The 15,403-nt window shown below is 42.7% G+C and overlaps 1 protein-coding gene across 2 annotated transcripts in view, besides 1 other annotated feature; it reads left to right on the top strand.

Moving 5' to 3' along the window:
• RBM28 (RNA binding motif protein 28) overlaps positions 1 to 15,403 on the top strand; it is a 46,224-nt gene that overhangs the window by 15,665 nt on the left and 15,156 nt on the right. For both annotated transcript variants that reach the window (NM_001166135.2, NM_018077.3), the window contains 8 exons: positions 2,353 to 2,426; positions 3,550 to 3,685; positions 4,653 to 4,717; positions 6,820 to 6,978; positions 10,138 to 10,287; positions 10,511 to 10,585; positions 13,224 to 13,480; positions 14,970 to 15,069. In NM_001166135.2, the coding sequence (NP_001159607.1) occupies positions 2,353 to 2,426; positions 3,550 to 3,685; positions 4,653 to 4,717; positions 6,820 to 6,978; positions 10,138 to 10,287; positions 10,511 to 10,585; positions 13,224 to 13,480; positions 14,970 to 15,069 (1,016 nt within the window). The remainder of the gene's footprint in view (positions 1 to 2,352; positions 2,427 to 3,549; positions 3,686 to 4,652; positions 4,718 to 6,819; positions 6,979 to 10,137; positions 10,288 to 10,510; positions 10,586 to 13,223; positions 13,481 to 14,969; positions 15,070 to 15,403) is intronic.
• Positions 8,217 to 8,718: an enhancer, noted in NCBI's record as "H3K4me1 hESC enhancer chr7:127959579-127960080 (GRCh37/hg19 assembly coordinates)". NCBI's record gives its function as "activates a minimal SCP1, AML or CMV promoter by ChIP-STARR-seq in primed H9 embryonic stem cells {active_cell/tissue: H9 hESC(primed)}" and the evidence as "EXISTENCE:reporter gene assay evidence [ECO:0000049][PMID:30033119]".

Here is a 15,403-nt window from a genome sequence, read left to right as displayed (position 1 = left end):
ATTTTCCCCATATTTCCTTATTTGTTTCTTTCTATTGAGTATCTGTTAATGCTGTACACTATAGTAGGTGCTAGGGATATAGAAACAGATAAGAATTGTGGTCATTTTTCCTGAGGTATTCATTCTGTTTGGGAAGATGTCACCTGAGTAGTGCTATAATAAAGATGTGAGTGGAAGATAGGAGGCAGGAGGGGACACAGAAGCTTCTAGATGGTGACCTTTGTGTTGGCCTGGCGCATGTGTCCTTTCAGTTAGTCTGTGCCATTCATTTTTATAGGAGGCAGAAGATCAATGCCCCCACTAGCTCTAGGAAATATGGCAGCATCTGAGAGAATATTTAAAATTTAAAGGAATACTAAACAAAATTATGAAACTTGTATTTCTTTTTTGGAATCTACTGAAAGGTAAACTTACTTTCTTTGCTTATAAAAGTTGTTTTTTATTGACCGGGTGCAGTGGCTCACACCTGTAATCCCAGCACTTTGGGAGGCCAAGGCAGGCGGATCACCTGAGGTTGGGAGTTCGAGACCAGCTTGACCAACATGGAGAAACCCTGTCTCTACTAAAAATACAAAATTAGCTGGGCATGGAGGCACCTGCCTGTAATCTCAGCTACTTGGGAGGCTGAGGCAGAAGAGTCACTTGAACCCAGGAGGCGGAGGTTGCAGTGAGCCAAGATTGAGCCATTAGACTCCAGCCTGGGCAACAAGAGCGAAACTCCGTCTCAAAAAAAAAAAAAATTGTTTTTTTGTCAATAGCAGAAATAGAGATGGGTTAATTGGTCCTGCATCTAATCAAGGAAAGGCATGCCTTATGGAGATTCTAGAGTATGAGCCAAGAATTGAGCTCCTGGCTTTCTGGTTCCCTGCTATATTCATATAGTAGAGGACAGAGACTTTTACTCTGAGAAGCAGATCTGCCCATATCTGATGCCTCCCAAGTGACTGTGTGACAGTGAGATCTGTAATTAAGTTCAGGGTTAAGTGGTTCCTGCTTTATTTTTTAGTCCTCTAATAGGTACTTCATAAGTGATGCTGAATTAAGTGTTAGGCTGGAATTTCTCTACCATTTCATGTGGATATTTCTTTTCTTTTCTTTTCTTTCTTTTTTTTGAGACAAGGTCTCGCTCTGTCACCCTGGCTGTAGTGCAGTGATCATGGCTTACTGCAGCCTTGACCTCCCGAGGTCAGGTCATCCTCCCACCTCAGCTTTCTCGGTAGCTGGGACTATAGGCATGCACCACCACACCCAGCCAATTTTTTTTTTTCTTTCGTAGAGACAGGGTTTTGTCATGTTGCTTAGGCTCTAACTCTTGGGCTTAAGCGATCTTCCTGCCTTGGTCTCCTAAAGAGCTGGGATTACAAGTGTAAGCCACCACACCCAGCCTTCACATGGATATTTCTTATTAAGAGAGATCATGAGACTAAAGTTCTAAGAAGAATTAGAACAGATGAAGGAAGTAATAATAAAATTTCATTAAGAGCAGTGGTATCTTTGTCTTGATTATTTGGTACCTAACATAGTGCCTGTGTCATAGTGCAATATGCGTCACTTAATGATGGGGATACATTCTGCAAAGTTCATTATTTGGTGATTTTGTCATTGTGTGAATGTCATAGTGTACTTATACAAACCTAGGTGGTATGGCCTACTACACACATAGGTCATATGTGCTCCTAGGCTACAAACCTGTACAGCACAGCATGTTGTTATACTGAATGTTGTAGGCAGTTGTAACATAATGGTAAGTATATGTGTATCTAAGTATTTCTAAACATAGAAAAGGTATAGTAAAATGCAGTATAAAAGATAAAAAATGGTACAACTGTATAGGGCAGATCCATTGTAATCTTCTGGGACCACTGTTGTATATGCAGTCTGTCACTGACCAAAACGTCCTTATGCAAGTACATGGCTGTACTTTTTTTTTTTTTTTTTTTTGAGACGGAGTCTTGCTCTGTTGCCCAGGCTGGAGTGCAGTGGCACTATCTTGGCTCGCTGCAACTCCGCCTCCCAGGTTTACGCCATTCTCCTGCCTCAGCCTCCCAAGTAACTGGGACTACAGGTGCCCGCCACCACGCCTGGCTAATTTTTTGTATTTTTAGTAGCGACGGGGTTTCACTGTGTTGGCCAGGATGGTCTTGATCTCTTGACCTCATGATCTGCCCGCATCGGCCTCCCAAAGTGCCGGGATTACAGGTGTGAGCCACTGCACCCGGCTACATGGCTGTACTTAATAAATGGATGCCACCTATCCCTTCCACTCTGTGTCAGGCTGTTGCCATTTGCAATGTTGTCTTTGGTTTATCTGTGGGAGTTTGGGATCTCACTGAATTGTGTCTCCTTGTGCAGGTTGTGCATTTGCCCAGTTCATGACTCAAGAAGCAGCTCAGAAATGCCTTCTAGCTGCTTCTCCAGAGAATGAGGTAAGGAAGATATTTCCTTTACCTTATAACACAGGAGGCAGTTTGGCTCTTAGGGGCAACATCTGGTATTTATACAAAGCTTTATTATTATTTTTCTTGTCAGTAATAATAAAACTAACACTTATTTAGCACTTTGTGTTAGGCACTGAACTTTACATGCATTATCTTAATCATTACATCAGCCCTTTGAGGTAGGCAGAATTATGATCTCTACTTCATAGGTGAGGAAAAGGGGATAATAACGTATCTGATATTTGTTGCTTGCTGTCTGTGTCAGCCTCTATCCTAGACTGATAACATGAAAGACTAGGATGAGGTATTAAGGTCGTCTGTGAAGTAGAGTAGATGTTTGAGAGAGAATGTGTGTGGGTGATGGAGAATTACTCCATTTGTTCTATAGTCGAGTATAATGTTATCTAATATTGCTGTTATTTCTTAAGTCCTCTTGAGTAAGTACTCTACTATTTCACTAGCTTACTTTACAATACTAGACATTTGCCTGGTTACAGATAATTTTCCTCAGTTTGGGTCTACTTTGGGACTAATCAACTCCCAGAAAATAAATTCTTTACTGCTGACTGCCTGAAATACACATGTGGCCTTTTGCACAGCTATACTAAATATTGTGAGGCCCAGTGATCCATTTGTAGCTAGCTGAGCTGAAACGTCGTAGGGCTTGGCTTCCATAGCGTAATTGATGTTTGCTGTATCCCTTTCTGTGGTGTTCTTGTCAGGTGCTTAGTTTCTAGTTTCTACTCATTATGTGTTGTTTTGTTTTGTTATTTTTTTATTTTATTTTATTTTTTTTGAGGTGGAGTCTCGCTCTGTCTCCCAGGCTGGAGTGTAGTTGCGCGATGTCCGCTCACTGCAAGCTCCGTCTCCCAGGTTCATGCCATTCTCCTGCCTCAGCCTCCTGAGTAGGATTACAGGCGCACACCACCATGCCCGGCTAATTTTTGTATTTTTAGTAGAGACGAGGTTTCACCATGTTGGCCAGGCTGGCCTTGAACTCCTGACCTCAGGTGATCCACCTGCCTCAGCCTCCCAAAGTGCTCGGTTTACAGGTGTGAGCCACTGTGCCCGGCCATTATGTGTTTTAAGAAAGGGTTGTGATCTGTTACAGGCTGGTGGGCTTAAACTGGATGGCCGGCAGCTCAAGGTTGACTTGGCGGTGACCCGTGATGAGGCTGCAAAGCTTCAGACGACGAAGGTGAAGAAGCCGACTGGCACCCGGAATCTCTATCTGGCCCGAGAAGGCTGTGAGTAGGGAGATGTAACCCACACTTCTAAGTACCTGGCCCTGTGCCATAATCATTGATCAAGCAATAGTATGCCTGGAAGCATGTTTCAAATTAAAAACCCAAATGTTCTCTTTAACAGTGTTATATGATCATTCCACTTTAATAAATGTGGCTCTCTATTAGTAAACCTTCACTCGTTTTTGTGGATTAACTGTCCCATTATCTTTTCTGCCTGGTTGCCTTTAGTCTTTTTCAATAGAGGATTGGCAAGGCAAAGGGGGAGGAAGAACTCAAAATACCTTTGCTTCTTGTCATCATTTCTAATAAGAGGTTTTCATTATGACTAAAATTACTCTTTTGGATTATTCATGGATTTAAAATGTGCACCCAATACTTTCCTTTAGTGTCAGAAAGACAAAAAAATTAGCTTTAAATTTTTAAAAAAATTCTTCTAGGTCACACAGCATTTATCAGCTCACCTCCTCCATAGCTTCACAGCCTGTACTAGTAATGTCCTTTAGCCTTCGACACCAGCCTTCTATGGCAACATAACTGTTTTCGGCTGGCTTATCTCACTGTTTAGTAATGGACCTCAAGTATATAAGGAACAGCAAAGTTAAGTTCCAAGGGCAGATTATAGGTGGAACATTGTGCATTCTAAATGCCCAAAATGTACTTATGTTCCATACTTCTTCTAGGCCTTTCTTTCTGACTTTGGGCATGTACGTGAAGATTCTTTGAGGGGAGAGAAGGAGAAGAGGAATAAAATCACAAAATGTTTAGAGTTTTAGTCCTTGAGAGCAGCTCTGAGCCCAGAACTTAGCCCTGTAGCCTATTTCTGGACCTAACCAAATGCCACCGTGTCCTGGCCAAGATAGTCCTCTGGGCCCTGTACAAAGAGTTTGCATCATTCAAATCACATTCCTCTTGTTGCTCAGTGAAAATTCCCTTGTTGATGTCTTGGCCTTTTTCCCTCTTTCTGCAGTGATTCGTGCTGGGACGAAGGCTGCAGAGGGTGTGAGTGCTGCTGATATGGCCAAAAGAGAACGGGTGAGTAGATTAGGCATTGACCTTCACGTTCTGCGTGGCCTATAAATCAATCAAAAATAGTTATCGAATGCTAGATGTGCTCATCAAAGAGCCCAGTATGGTCACAGACCATACTTATTGCCCTGTTAGGGAGAAAAGCACATAGGTGAAATAGCAAGTAACCCAACATCATACATAGTATTCTATCTGTTTTGTATGCTGGTATAAAAGAACTGTGTCTTATTATTTGTTTCCCTAGTGCTTGGCAGTAAATGTTTGCTGAACACATGCTGCTACATCATGCAGTAGACAGTCAGAGGCTATTGCTACATGTAATTAGGTGTCAGTATAAACACAGAATAATGTAAAAGAGGAAGATCAGAATGAGCTGGAGTTATTAGAGAAGGGAGAAGATATGGCTCTTGAAAGGGGTAGCTGTCAGTTGGGAGGAGTTATAATCTCCAGATTATAAAATCATTTTAGAAAAACTCCATTTTATGGATGTTTCCGATGTTAACCGATAACTCATATTCCTTTGCTGCTTGGTAATGTTCCCAGTAATTTTTACTTTTTCCCATATAACTTACTTTCAAAAAGCCAAGCCAGCCTAGAAGGGTAAAGATGCATAACTGTGAACAGAATTAGCTATGGAACCTTAACATGCAGATGAGGAACAGGGGTGAGAGTGTAATGACAGCAGGAGGCAGTGCGTCTTTTTTTCAGTGGGCACAGATTCTGCACTAGTGTTTTCAACTTTTGTGGTAGTGAACACCTAGAAATCATAGGCTCTGGAGACCCATCCTTAACTGGAGAAATTACAGAAAATTTTAAAGCCTCAATTTTATAAGGGCACTATATACCCTTGTCTGATCACAGTGCAATAATGACATATTTAATTTAAAACTAATTTTGTTAGCAAAAAGCTCATTCAATGATAGGTATGCATTATAAATTCACAGCAGGCACAGCTTTTCCTGACAGAAAAATAGTCTGTTGAACTTAAACATGATAGCCTTTTCAGATGTTCCTTTAATAGTCGTTTTCCAAGGGATTTGTTTATTTTGTGATCTGTTGGTACTTTTACCAAACAAGAAGCAGCAGGACTGAGAAGACTTGACAAAAGAAAAACTTTTAATTGAAAACTTTTTTCTACCAACTTGGTTTAAAAAAAACTAATTGGGAGAAGAATGTCATCTTTCATTTCATTTTAGACACAGATCACGCAGGAACTGGGGTTTTGTGGCAGCATAGTTGAGGGTATTGCTCTAAGAGCAAAATATGGTTCTGTGGTCATTGATACTCCTTTGCCTCAGGGTGGCAGAGTTGAGACAACACAGCATTCTGTCAAGTATTCTTTGAATAACTTCCATTTCCTTTTGGAAGGATTAGATAATCAGTTGAGCTGGTGGGTAGATGAGGACTGGGCATAGATATTAATCACAGTATTATTTGTTGTTTGTTCTGAGCTACATTTTGAGCTAGGGAATTTTTTTTTTTTTTTGACCGAATTTCACTCTTGCTGCCCAGGCTGGAGTGCAATGGCACGATCCTGGCTCACCACAACCTCCGGCTCCCAGGTTCAAGCGATTCTCCTGCTTCAGCCTCCCGAGTAGCTGGGATTACAGGCATGCACTACTATGCCTGGCTAATTTTTGTATTTTTAGTAGAGACAGGGTTTCACCATGTTGGCCAGGCTGATCTTGAACTCCTGACCTCGGGTGATCTGCCTGCCCTGGCCTCCCAAAGTGCTCGGATTACAGGCATGAGCCACCCTGCCCAGCCTTATATTATCTCATTTTGGCCTCACCTCAGTGCTCAGAGACCTTGATCTACTGTTTCGTTTTATAGATGAAAAATTGTGGCTTTAAAATTTTATGTAATTTCTCCAGTTAGGGATGGGTCTCCAGAGCCTATGATTTTACTATTACCCACCCACCATCTTGTTCCCTTGGACTTTTCTTTCCCTATACTAGGCATTGTAAAGCTGCGGTGTGGGCAGTTTCCATCCGTTTTCTATATGTGTGGTTATGGGATGAGGATCATAATTCTTTCCTTTTGGAGAATTATGAGCCTACCTCTTAAAAAGAGTGGGTTGTACTGTTAACCATTGGTTGTTCTTTCAGTTTGAGCTGCTGAAGCATCAGAAACTCAAGGACCAGAATATCTTTGTCTCCCGAACCAGGCTCTGCCTGCACAATCTCCCAAAGGCTGTAGATGACAAACAGCTCAGAAAGCTGCTGCTGAGTGCTACTAGTGGAGAGAAAGGGGTGCGCATCAAGGAGGTGAGACGTGGCCCTGACCATTTTGGAGCTTTCATTCTGATCTTGGGTCAGATCAAGCATTTCCCTCAGGCTGTGGTGCCAGATTTTGTTTGTTTGTTTTGAGACGAAGTCTCACTCTGTTGCCCAGGCTGTAGTGCAGCGGTGCAATCTTGACTCACTGCAACCTCCTCCTCCTGGGCTCAAGCAGTTCTCCTGCCTCAGCCCCCTGAATAGCTGGGACTATAGGCGTGCGCCACCACGCCTGGCTAATTTTTGTATTTTTAGTAGAGAAGGGATTGCACCATGTTAGCCAGGCTGGTCTCGAACTCCTGACCTCAAGTGATCTGCCCACCTCGGCCTCCCAAAGTGCTAGGATTACAGGCGTGAGCCACTGTGCCGGGCCATCAACAGACTTTCTTCTGGACATGTTGTCAGCATGCATAGCTGAGTTTAGCAGTTTCTTGGTTTTGTTCTTTTTCTTCTAAGAATTGTCTTTTACATCTGACTGAATTACAGCAGAATGCAAGGAAATCTCTGTCTGCATGAATTAATTTAGCAAGCATTTATTAAATGCCTGTTGTGTGCTTAGCATTATACTTTGTGCTATCATGTGAATTTTCTTGCAGAGAAAATAATCTGCTTTGCTTTTTGGAAGAGTATTTTACTCCTAGTTAGATTCTTACCCTGTGTTCAGAGTCCCCTATGCCTTGTGGTCAACACAGGAAGCCATGTAGATGTTCAGCAGTTGAATTAGAAAAACACTGGGTTCACACCAACTTGGTTAGACTCTGTGTGAGTACAGAACTTTTCTGCCTCCACATTCCCCTTTGCGTATTTCTCTTTTCTTTTTTTTCTTTTCTTCCTTTCTTTTTTTTTTTTTAGATGTGGTCTTGCTCTGTCTTTGGCTGGAGTGCAGTGGCACCATCTCGGGTCACTGCAAACCGCCACCCCCCCCCCCCCCAAGCTCAAGCAATCCTCCCACCTCAGCCTCCCAAGTAGTTGGGCCTATAGTTACACACCACCATGCCTGGCTAATTTCTTTCTTTCTTTCTTTTTTTTTTTTTTTTTTTTGAGACGGAGTCTCACTCTGTCGTTAAGCTGGAGTGCAGTGGCATGATCTCGGCTCAACGCAACCTCCGCCTCCCGGGTTCAAGCGATTCTCTTGCCTCAGCTTCCCGAGTAGCTGGGACTACAGGCATGCACCACCACGCCCAGCTGATTTTTGTATTTTTAGTGGAGACGGGGTTTCACCATGTTGCCAAGATGGTCTCGATCTCTTGACCTCAAGTGATCCGCCTGCCTCGGCCTCCCAAAGTGCTGGGATTACAGGCGTGAGCCACCTCGCCCAGCCCATGCTTGACTAATTTCTTGTTTTTGGTAGAGACAGGGTTTTGTCATGTTGCCCAGGCTGGTCGCAAATTCCTGAGCTCAGATGATTCCCCTGCTTCGGCCTCCCACAGTGCTGGAATTATAACAGTGAACCACTGGGCCTGGCCTTGCATATCTCTGTCATACTGGTTACTATTACCCTGGCCTCAAACTGTCTGTCAGTCACTTCTCCCCACTAGACTGAGTTTTTGAGGCAAGCGTTATCTCATTATCCCCAATCCTTGGTGTAGTACCTGGTACATAGTCATCTCTTAGTCAATATTTATTTTAAAAGTACCATTGCCAATATTTTGGGCCTGCTTTACTCTGTTTCGCTACCATAAACTGTTTTCCTAATCCCTGAAAACCTCTTCAAAATGTATGGATTGGTATTTGGGAGATTACTTGAGAGAATGTGAATATATCAGCACATATCTGACACCACAGTTAGTAAAACTGCTCAGTGTTACTGGTTATAGGGGAGGGACAGTTGTGTAATTTCTCCTATCATCCGAATACTTAGTGCCTACATATTTAACACCTGTCATAATTTAGAGAAATTTATGTTTATTCTAGAATATTTTGCATTATGTTGAATTTTCCTCTTAATTCTTTCCTATTTGTATGTATAGTGTCTCAGTAAGATGGTAAGCATCTTGAGAACAGGATCTTCATTATATGCTTCTCTTGATTCCCTTACAGTGTATGACAGTTCTAGGCACAGAGTGGACACTGGACATAAACTAAATGCGGCATCCATGCATCCCCAATACTTAGCTGTTTCCATTACATGAGAACGACAGCTTTGGTAGTAATGGCATGTAAATGATCAGTTTTCTCGAAAAATCCTACCATACTTTGGTGCCCCAGATGTTTACTACATCTGGCTTAAGGATTTAAGGGAAAACCACACTAGAGAGGATCTGAGCTGCAAGCAAAGAGAGCTGAAACTTCTTCCTATATTTCTGACCCTGTATGTTGGAGAGACTTTTTCCTATGCTTGAAATGTCTTTCTTATCTAAAGCCATCAGGCCTTCCTCCTTTCCTTCTTCAATAATTTCCTTCCTGAGGGCTTTTTTCAGTTGTAAGATCTGTGGACAGTACTCCATCCTCGGCAGCAACTTGTTACACGCTTAAAATACCATGTACCTCTCAATTTGTATGTATCGCAAACAGTTGTGTTTGTATTGTGTTTGTTTTTTAACATCCATACCGCTTTATAAATTTTCTTTAGGAAGTTTTGTTTATGTGCTTTTTTTTAGGTCTCTGTTGATGTCTATAAGCTAGTAGAAAGCAAGAAAATACAATTTTAATCTGTTTGATGGTCTTAGTAGGTAAATTCTAATAAGATGGACACACATAAGTGTTATTCCAGTGTGATTTTTGTGATGGTGGTATAAATGAAGATTATGTTTCAATAACCTGATTTTTTTTTTTTTTTTTTGAGACAGGGTCTCACTCTGTTGCCCAGGCTGGAGTGCAGTGGTGCCATCATGGCTCACTGTAACTTCAACCTCCCCGGGCTCAGGTGATCCTCCTGCTTCAGCCTCTTGAGTAGCTGAGGTGCCACCACACTGGCTAATTTTTTGTATTTTTTGTAGAGACAAGGTTTTGCCATGTTGCCTAGGCTGGTCTCAAACTCCTGGCCTCAAGCAATCCTCCTGTCTCGGCCTCCCAAGGTGCTAGGATTACAGGCATGAACCACCATGCCCACCCAATAGCCTGATTTCTTATTGACTCTATTAAAGCAGTTCATGTCAGGCAAGTCTTCTCATTCTGTAATTACTGATTTTTTTCTTGCTCTACTCATAGTGTAGAGTGATGCGAGACCTCAAAGGAGTTCATGGGAACATGAAGGGTCAGTCCCTGGGCTACGCCTTTGCGGAGTTCCAAGAGCACGAGCATGCCCTGAAAGCCCTCCGCCTCATCAACAACAATCCAGAAATCTTTGGGCCTCTGAAGGTAGGCCTTGTCCTCTGGGGAGACTTGTTCCCTTAGGACCACTTGCAGGAAACCAGCCTTCTCCTTTATGCCTAGTGTCCTCTGACATTTGAGGGGTGGGAAACAGTGGCAAGTGGACAAAAAAAAGGTGGGTTGGGGGAGGATGTGTGAAGGGGAAAAACTCAGCTCATTGCATGCACAGATTAAGAAGTCTAATGAATGGCATTCTGTCTCCCTCTGACAGAGACCAATAGTGGAGTTCTCTTTAGAAGATCGAAGAAAACTTAAAATGAAGGAATTAAGGATCCAGCGCAGCTTGGTACAGAAATTAAATGGTCCATATTTTTAAGGACATAAACTCTTCTATTTTGTTCAATTTGTGCTTCTGCTCTCTTAGAGTAGTTCTCCCCTCAGTTAGGTTTTTTTGCTCCTAGTTCCCTTTACTCCCAGTTCCCTAAGCCTCTCCAGGCCATCTTCTTATCTGCTGGCCCATGTCTGATAGCTCTACAGCAGAAGGGAAAGGAAGGAGAGAGGAAGCAGACCAATGTTATTTCCAGTCAGCCGTTTTTTACAGTGTTTGGTGATAGTACGTGCCAAAATTAATGGTTGAGGTTAAGGTTTCCCATTACCTGTAGATTTCAGTTATCTCTTCCATATTTTCTTTTATTAGTTGGCTCCAGAAGTGTGAAGCCTGATAGTTTTAGTACTGTTTTTAATCTGGTGTGGTATAGAAGGTGGAGCAGGGACTTTAGGAATACGTGTACTCATGCTCATACTCTGGCTCTGCCCTTTTTGCTGCATGTTCCTTGGCAGTTATTACCGCTCTGAACTTCAGTTTGTAAAATGGGGTGGACAACATCTGCCTCACATGATTGCTGAGGACTAAATGAGATAATACATGTCCATCGTCTAGCATACTGCATGGTCAGCACGCAGTCAGTACTCATTCTCTTACCCATCTTCCCCCAGGACATACAGGGCCAGATTATTCTTGACTCTGTCATTCTTAGAGCTCTCATTGATATTGCACAGCAAAGTTCCCTTGCATATACAGCAAACATTTGTAGTCTTTGTGGTATATACCAAGAGGATTACCAACAGACGAGCCATTCTGGTGGTTAATGCAGTGGCCCTAGGTTGGAAAATCTGGGATCTGGTTATTGTTCAAGGCAACTTTGTTCCCCAGATAATAGAATTGTTTATTACTGTTAGCCATTGTTTCAGAGGTGATTCTGAAGCTACCAGTTTTGTTTGTTTTTCTGTTTGAGATGGAGTCTTGCTGTGTCGCTCAGTTTGGAGTGCAGTGGCACAATCTCAGTTCACTGCAACCTCCACCTTCTGGGTTCAAGTGATTCTCTTGCCTCAGCCTCCTGAGTAGCTGGGACTACAGGTGCACACCACCATACCCGGCTAATTTTTGTATTTTTTTAGTAGAGACAGGGTTTCACCATGTTGGCCAGGCTGGTCTCGAACTCCTGACTTCAAGTGATCCACCTGCCTCAGCCTCCCAAAGTGCTGGGATTACAGGCGTGAGTCACTGAGCCCAGCCTAGTTTGTTTTTTAACATCCAAATTACTTTATTTGTTGCCTGGATTTATATTCATACTGTTCTTTCTGTGTAAAAATGCCTCTACTCACTTTGCATATGCAGATCAAATGATCTCTTTCAAGTTGCATGCCTCCACCTCTCTCAAAAGATATAAGGCCCTCTTTACTTGATTTTCATGAACTTCCTTAAGCTGTGTAGTTTTTTTTACTTTGGTTTATTTGTGAATGCATCTCTTATCTCCACCTGGCTGTGAGTCCTGAAGGGTAGACACTATTTTTTTGTATCCTGGAAACAGACTGGCACACACTAGGCATATAATAAATGTTCATTGTATCGTTGTACCTATCTAGATTTCTAAGGTGAAAGGGAAGAACAACACACACTTATCATTACATTAATTTCACTTGAATCTTCTGTTTCTTCCACTTCAGTGCAAATACTTCTATAACTTCCTTGATGCCTTCCTTCCCACAGCATCTTTTTCTTGTCGTCTTTACTTCATTTATTCCATTCCTGATGTTCTTCCTTTCTTGAAAACGATCAGTTTCTGACCTATGTCATTTTTCTTCTCTCTGAAGAGATTATTTCGCATTTCTTGCAGACAGGTCTACTGGCAACAAATTCTCTCCATTTTCTTTTGTCTGAGTAAGTCTTTTCCTTCACTTTTGAAGGATAAGTTTATCGGATACAGGATTGTAGGTTGGTGATTTTTTTTTCTTTTAAAAATTTAAATATTAAATATCTCACTTCACTCCCTTCTTGCTTACATGGTTTCTGAAGAGAAGTCTTGGAAATCTCTCTCAATCTACTCTGGTTTGGGAGGGTGCCTATTAAAAACAAAAGAGAGAGAGATTTGATGTAATCTCATCCTTGTTCCTCTATAGGTAAAATTTTTCCCCTGTCTGGCTTCTTTCAAGATTTTATCTTTGATTTTCTGCAGTTTGTCTATGATATGACTGGTTGTAAATTGTTTAGTATTTATCTTATTTGGTCTTCTCTGAGTTCCTAGATCTGTGGTTTAGTGACTGTCATTAGTTTTGAAAAATTCTCAGCCCTTATTACTTCATTATCTTTTCTGTTGCTTGCTTTCTTCTTGTATTCTCCTTCTACATAGGTTACACCTTTGATAATTGTCCCACCTACTGACTTTTGAATTTTGGGCATGCACTCTCCCTTATTTCTGTGTTATGGGAAGGGGAATGGTTATTTTGTGCCCCCCACCCAGTAACCATCTGTTACTGTGGCAGGGCTTGTGATCTACATGTATTCACTTTCCTCTAGTCTCCAATTGTGTGGGGGAAGAATTCCTCTTCTTTCATCTAGCTCACATAAAGCTCATCTTCTGCTGAGTATTTGCAGCAAACAAAGCTCATCCAGAAACCAGATGGCATTTTCTTGTTTTATGCAGCAAAAAATGAGATCCAAGCCTGCAACTGGTGAGCCTCAGAAGGGGCAACCAGAGCCTGCAAAAGACCAGCAACAGAAGGCAGCTCAACACCACACAGAGGAACAAAGCAAGGTGCCCCCAGAGCAGAAGAGAAAGGCGGGCTCTACCTCATGGACCGGGTTCCAGACCAAGGCTGAAGTGGAGCAGGTGGAGCTGCCTGATGGAAAGAAGAGAAGAAAGGTCCTGGCGCTCCCCTCACACCGAGGCCCCAAAATCAGGTGAGATGCAGGAGGGCAGAAGCACAGAACAGTGGGTGGGTTCTAAGCGGGTTTGTTTTTGCTGAGTTATTTTCTCTTTGTGGCATTTGTTTGGTTGAAAAGGATGTTTGGTGCTATGTATTCCCACACATGGGGTTAACACGCGAGTCTTCAACACCATCAGAGATGTCACTCTTAGATCAATGGCAGAGGGGCCTCCTAGGGCAGGCTTTTGTGCCCCTTTTCTCCTCTTTTGAAGAGCTTCCTCTTGTCCAGATGGCCATCTCTGCCAGCTGAGACCACATACTTGAGGTTCAGTTGTAGTTTCTGTTTGGGACAGCAGATTAGTGCTCTACAAAAGTAAATCTTTACAAAATATTTGTTAAATAAATGAAGGTTTTTGAGATATCCATGGGGTTTTATTTATTTATTTATTTTATTTTTAGAGACAGTGTATTATTCAGTTCTTCCACTGCTATAAAGAAATACCTGAGACTGGGTAATTTATAAAGAAAAGAGGCTTGGCTGGGCGCGGTGGCTCACGCCTGTAATCCCAGCACTTTGGGAGGCCGAGGCGGGTGGATCACGAGGTCAGGAGATCGAGACCATCCTGGTTAACATGCTGAAACCCCGTCTCTACTAAAAATACAAAAAATTAGCTGGGTGCGGTGGCGGGCGCCTGTAGTCCCAGCTACTGGGGAGGCTGAGGCAGGAGAATGGCGTGAACCCGGGAGGCGGAGCTTGCAGTGAGCCGAGATCACGCCACTGCACTCTGGCCTGGGCGAAAGAGCGAGACTCCGTCTCAAAAAAAAAAAAGAAAAGAAAAGAGGCTTAATTGGCTCATGGTTCCACAGGCTGTACAGGAAGCATGACAGCAGCTGCTCATCTTCTAGGGAGGCCTCAGGAAACTTAATCATAGTGGAAGGTGAAGTGGGAGCTGGCACATCACATGGCCAGGAGCAGGGGGGAGTGTTTTAAACAACCAGATCTTGTGGTAACTCATTCACCGTCACGAGAACAGCACTGAGGGGATGGCGCTAAACCATTCATGAAGGAGTCATCCCCATGATCCAGTCACCTCCCACCAGGCCCAGCCTTCAACACTGGGGATTACAATTCAACGTGAGATTTGAGCAAGGACACAGATCCAAACCATGTCACAGGGTCTTGCTCTGTTGCCCAGGCTAGAGTGCAGTGGCATGATCATAGCGCACTGTAACCTCAACTCCTGGACTCAATCCACCTTCCTCAGCCTCCTGAGTAGCTGGGACTTTTTAATTTCGTTGTAGTAGAGACGGGGGATTGCTATGTTGCATAGGCTGGTCTCAAACTCCTGGCATCAAGCAGTCCTAAGTATACAAATGTTGAGCTTTCAGAGGGTCTGTTGCAGTATCCCTTTTTAGAATGACTTCACTTATCATGGGCTTGGGAAGGGCCAGTGTACAAAGAGAACCTAGGGGTGTCAAATTAGAAGAAGGACTCAAGGTGACACTCAGCCATGTTATTTCAGGTTGCGGGACAAAGGCAAAGTGAAGCCCGTCCATCCCAAAAAGCCAAAGCCACAGATAAACCAGTGGAAGCAGGAGAAGCAGCAATTATCGTCCGAGCAGGTGAGTTCTGCAGGACATACAGCTTTGGTATGGCATGGTTCTGCCAGGTCGTAGCCATGTTTGTACCTTGGTTAGTTGAGCAAAAAAGAAAAAAAGAAAGACTTCTGTGTAGGACGGTAGCTTTTTAGAGAATGTTGAGCTATACAATCTTAAAAGTGGAGAGAAAAAAGTAAAATGAACCTCCACGTATCTGTTCCTGTGTTTCAGCAGTCTCCTTGTTTTACATATTCCCCATAACATGCTTTCCCCACTAGAGTATATTAAAGCAAAGCCCATTTCACATGTAAATGCGTCTCATATGAAAATGAAACATATTGCTCAGAAAAACCTCAGA

Source organism: Homo sapiens, chromosome 7, assembly GCF_000001405.40.
Source record: "Homo sapiens chromosome 7, GRCh38.p14 Primary Assembly".
NCBI classification, from domain to species: domain Eukaryota; kingdom Metazoa; phylum Chordata; class Mammalia; order Primates; family Hominidae; genus Homo; species Homo sapiens.
The sequence above is the reverse complement of the archived record's forward strand: the minus strand, read 5'-3'. Positions and strand labels throughout refer to the sequence as shown.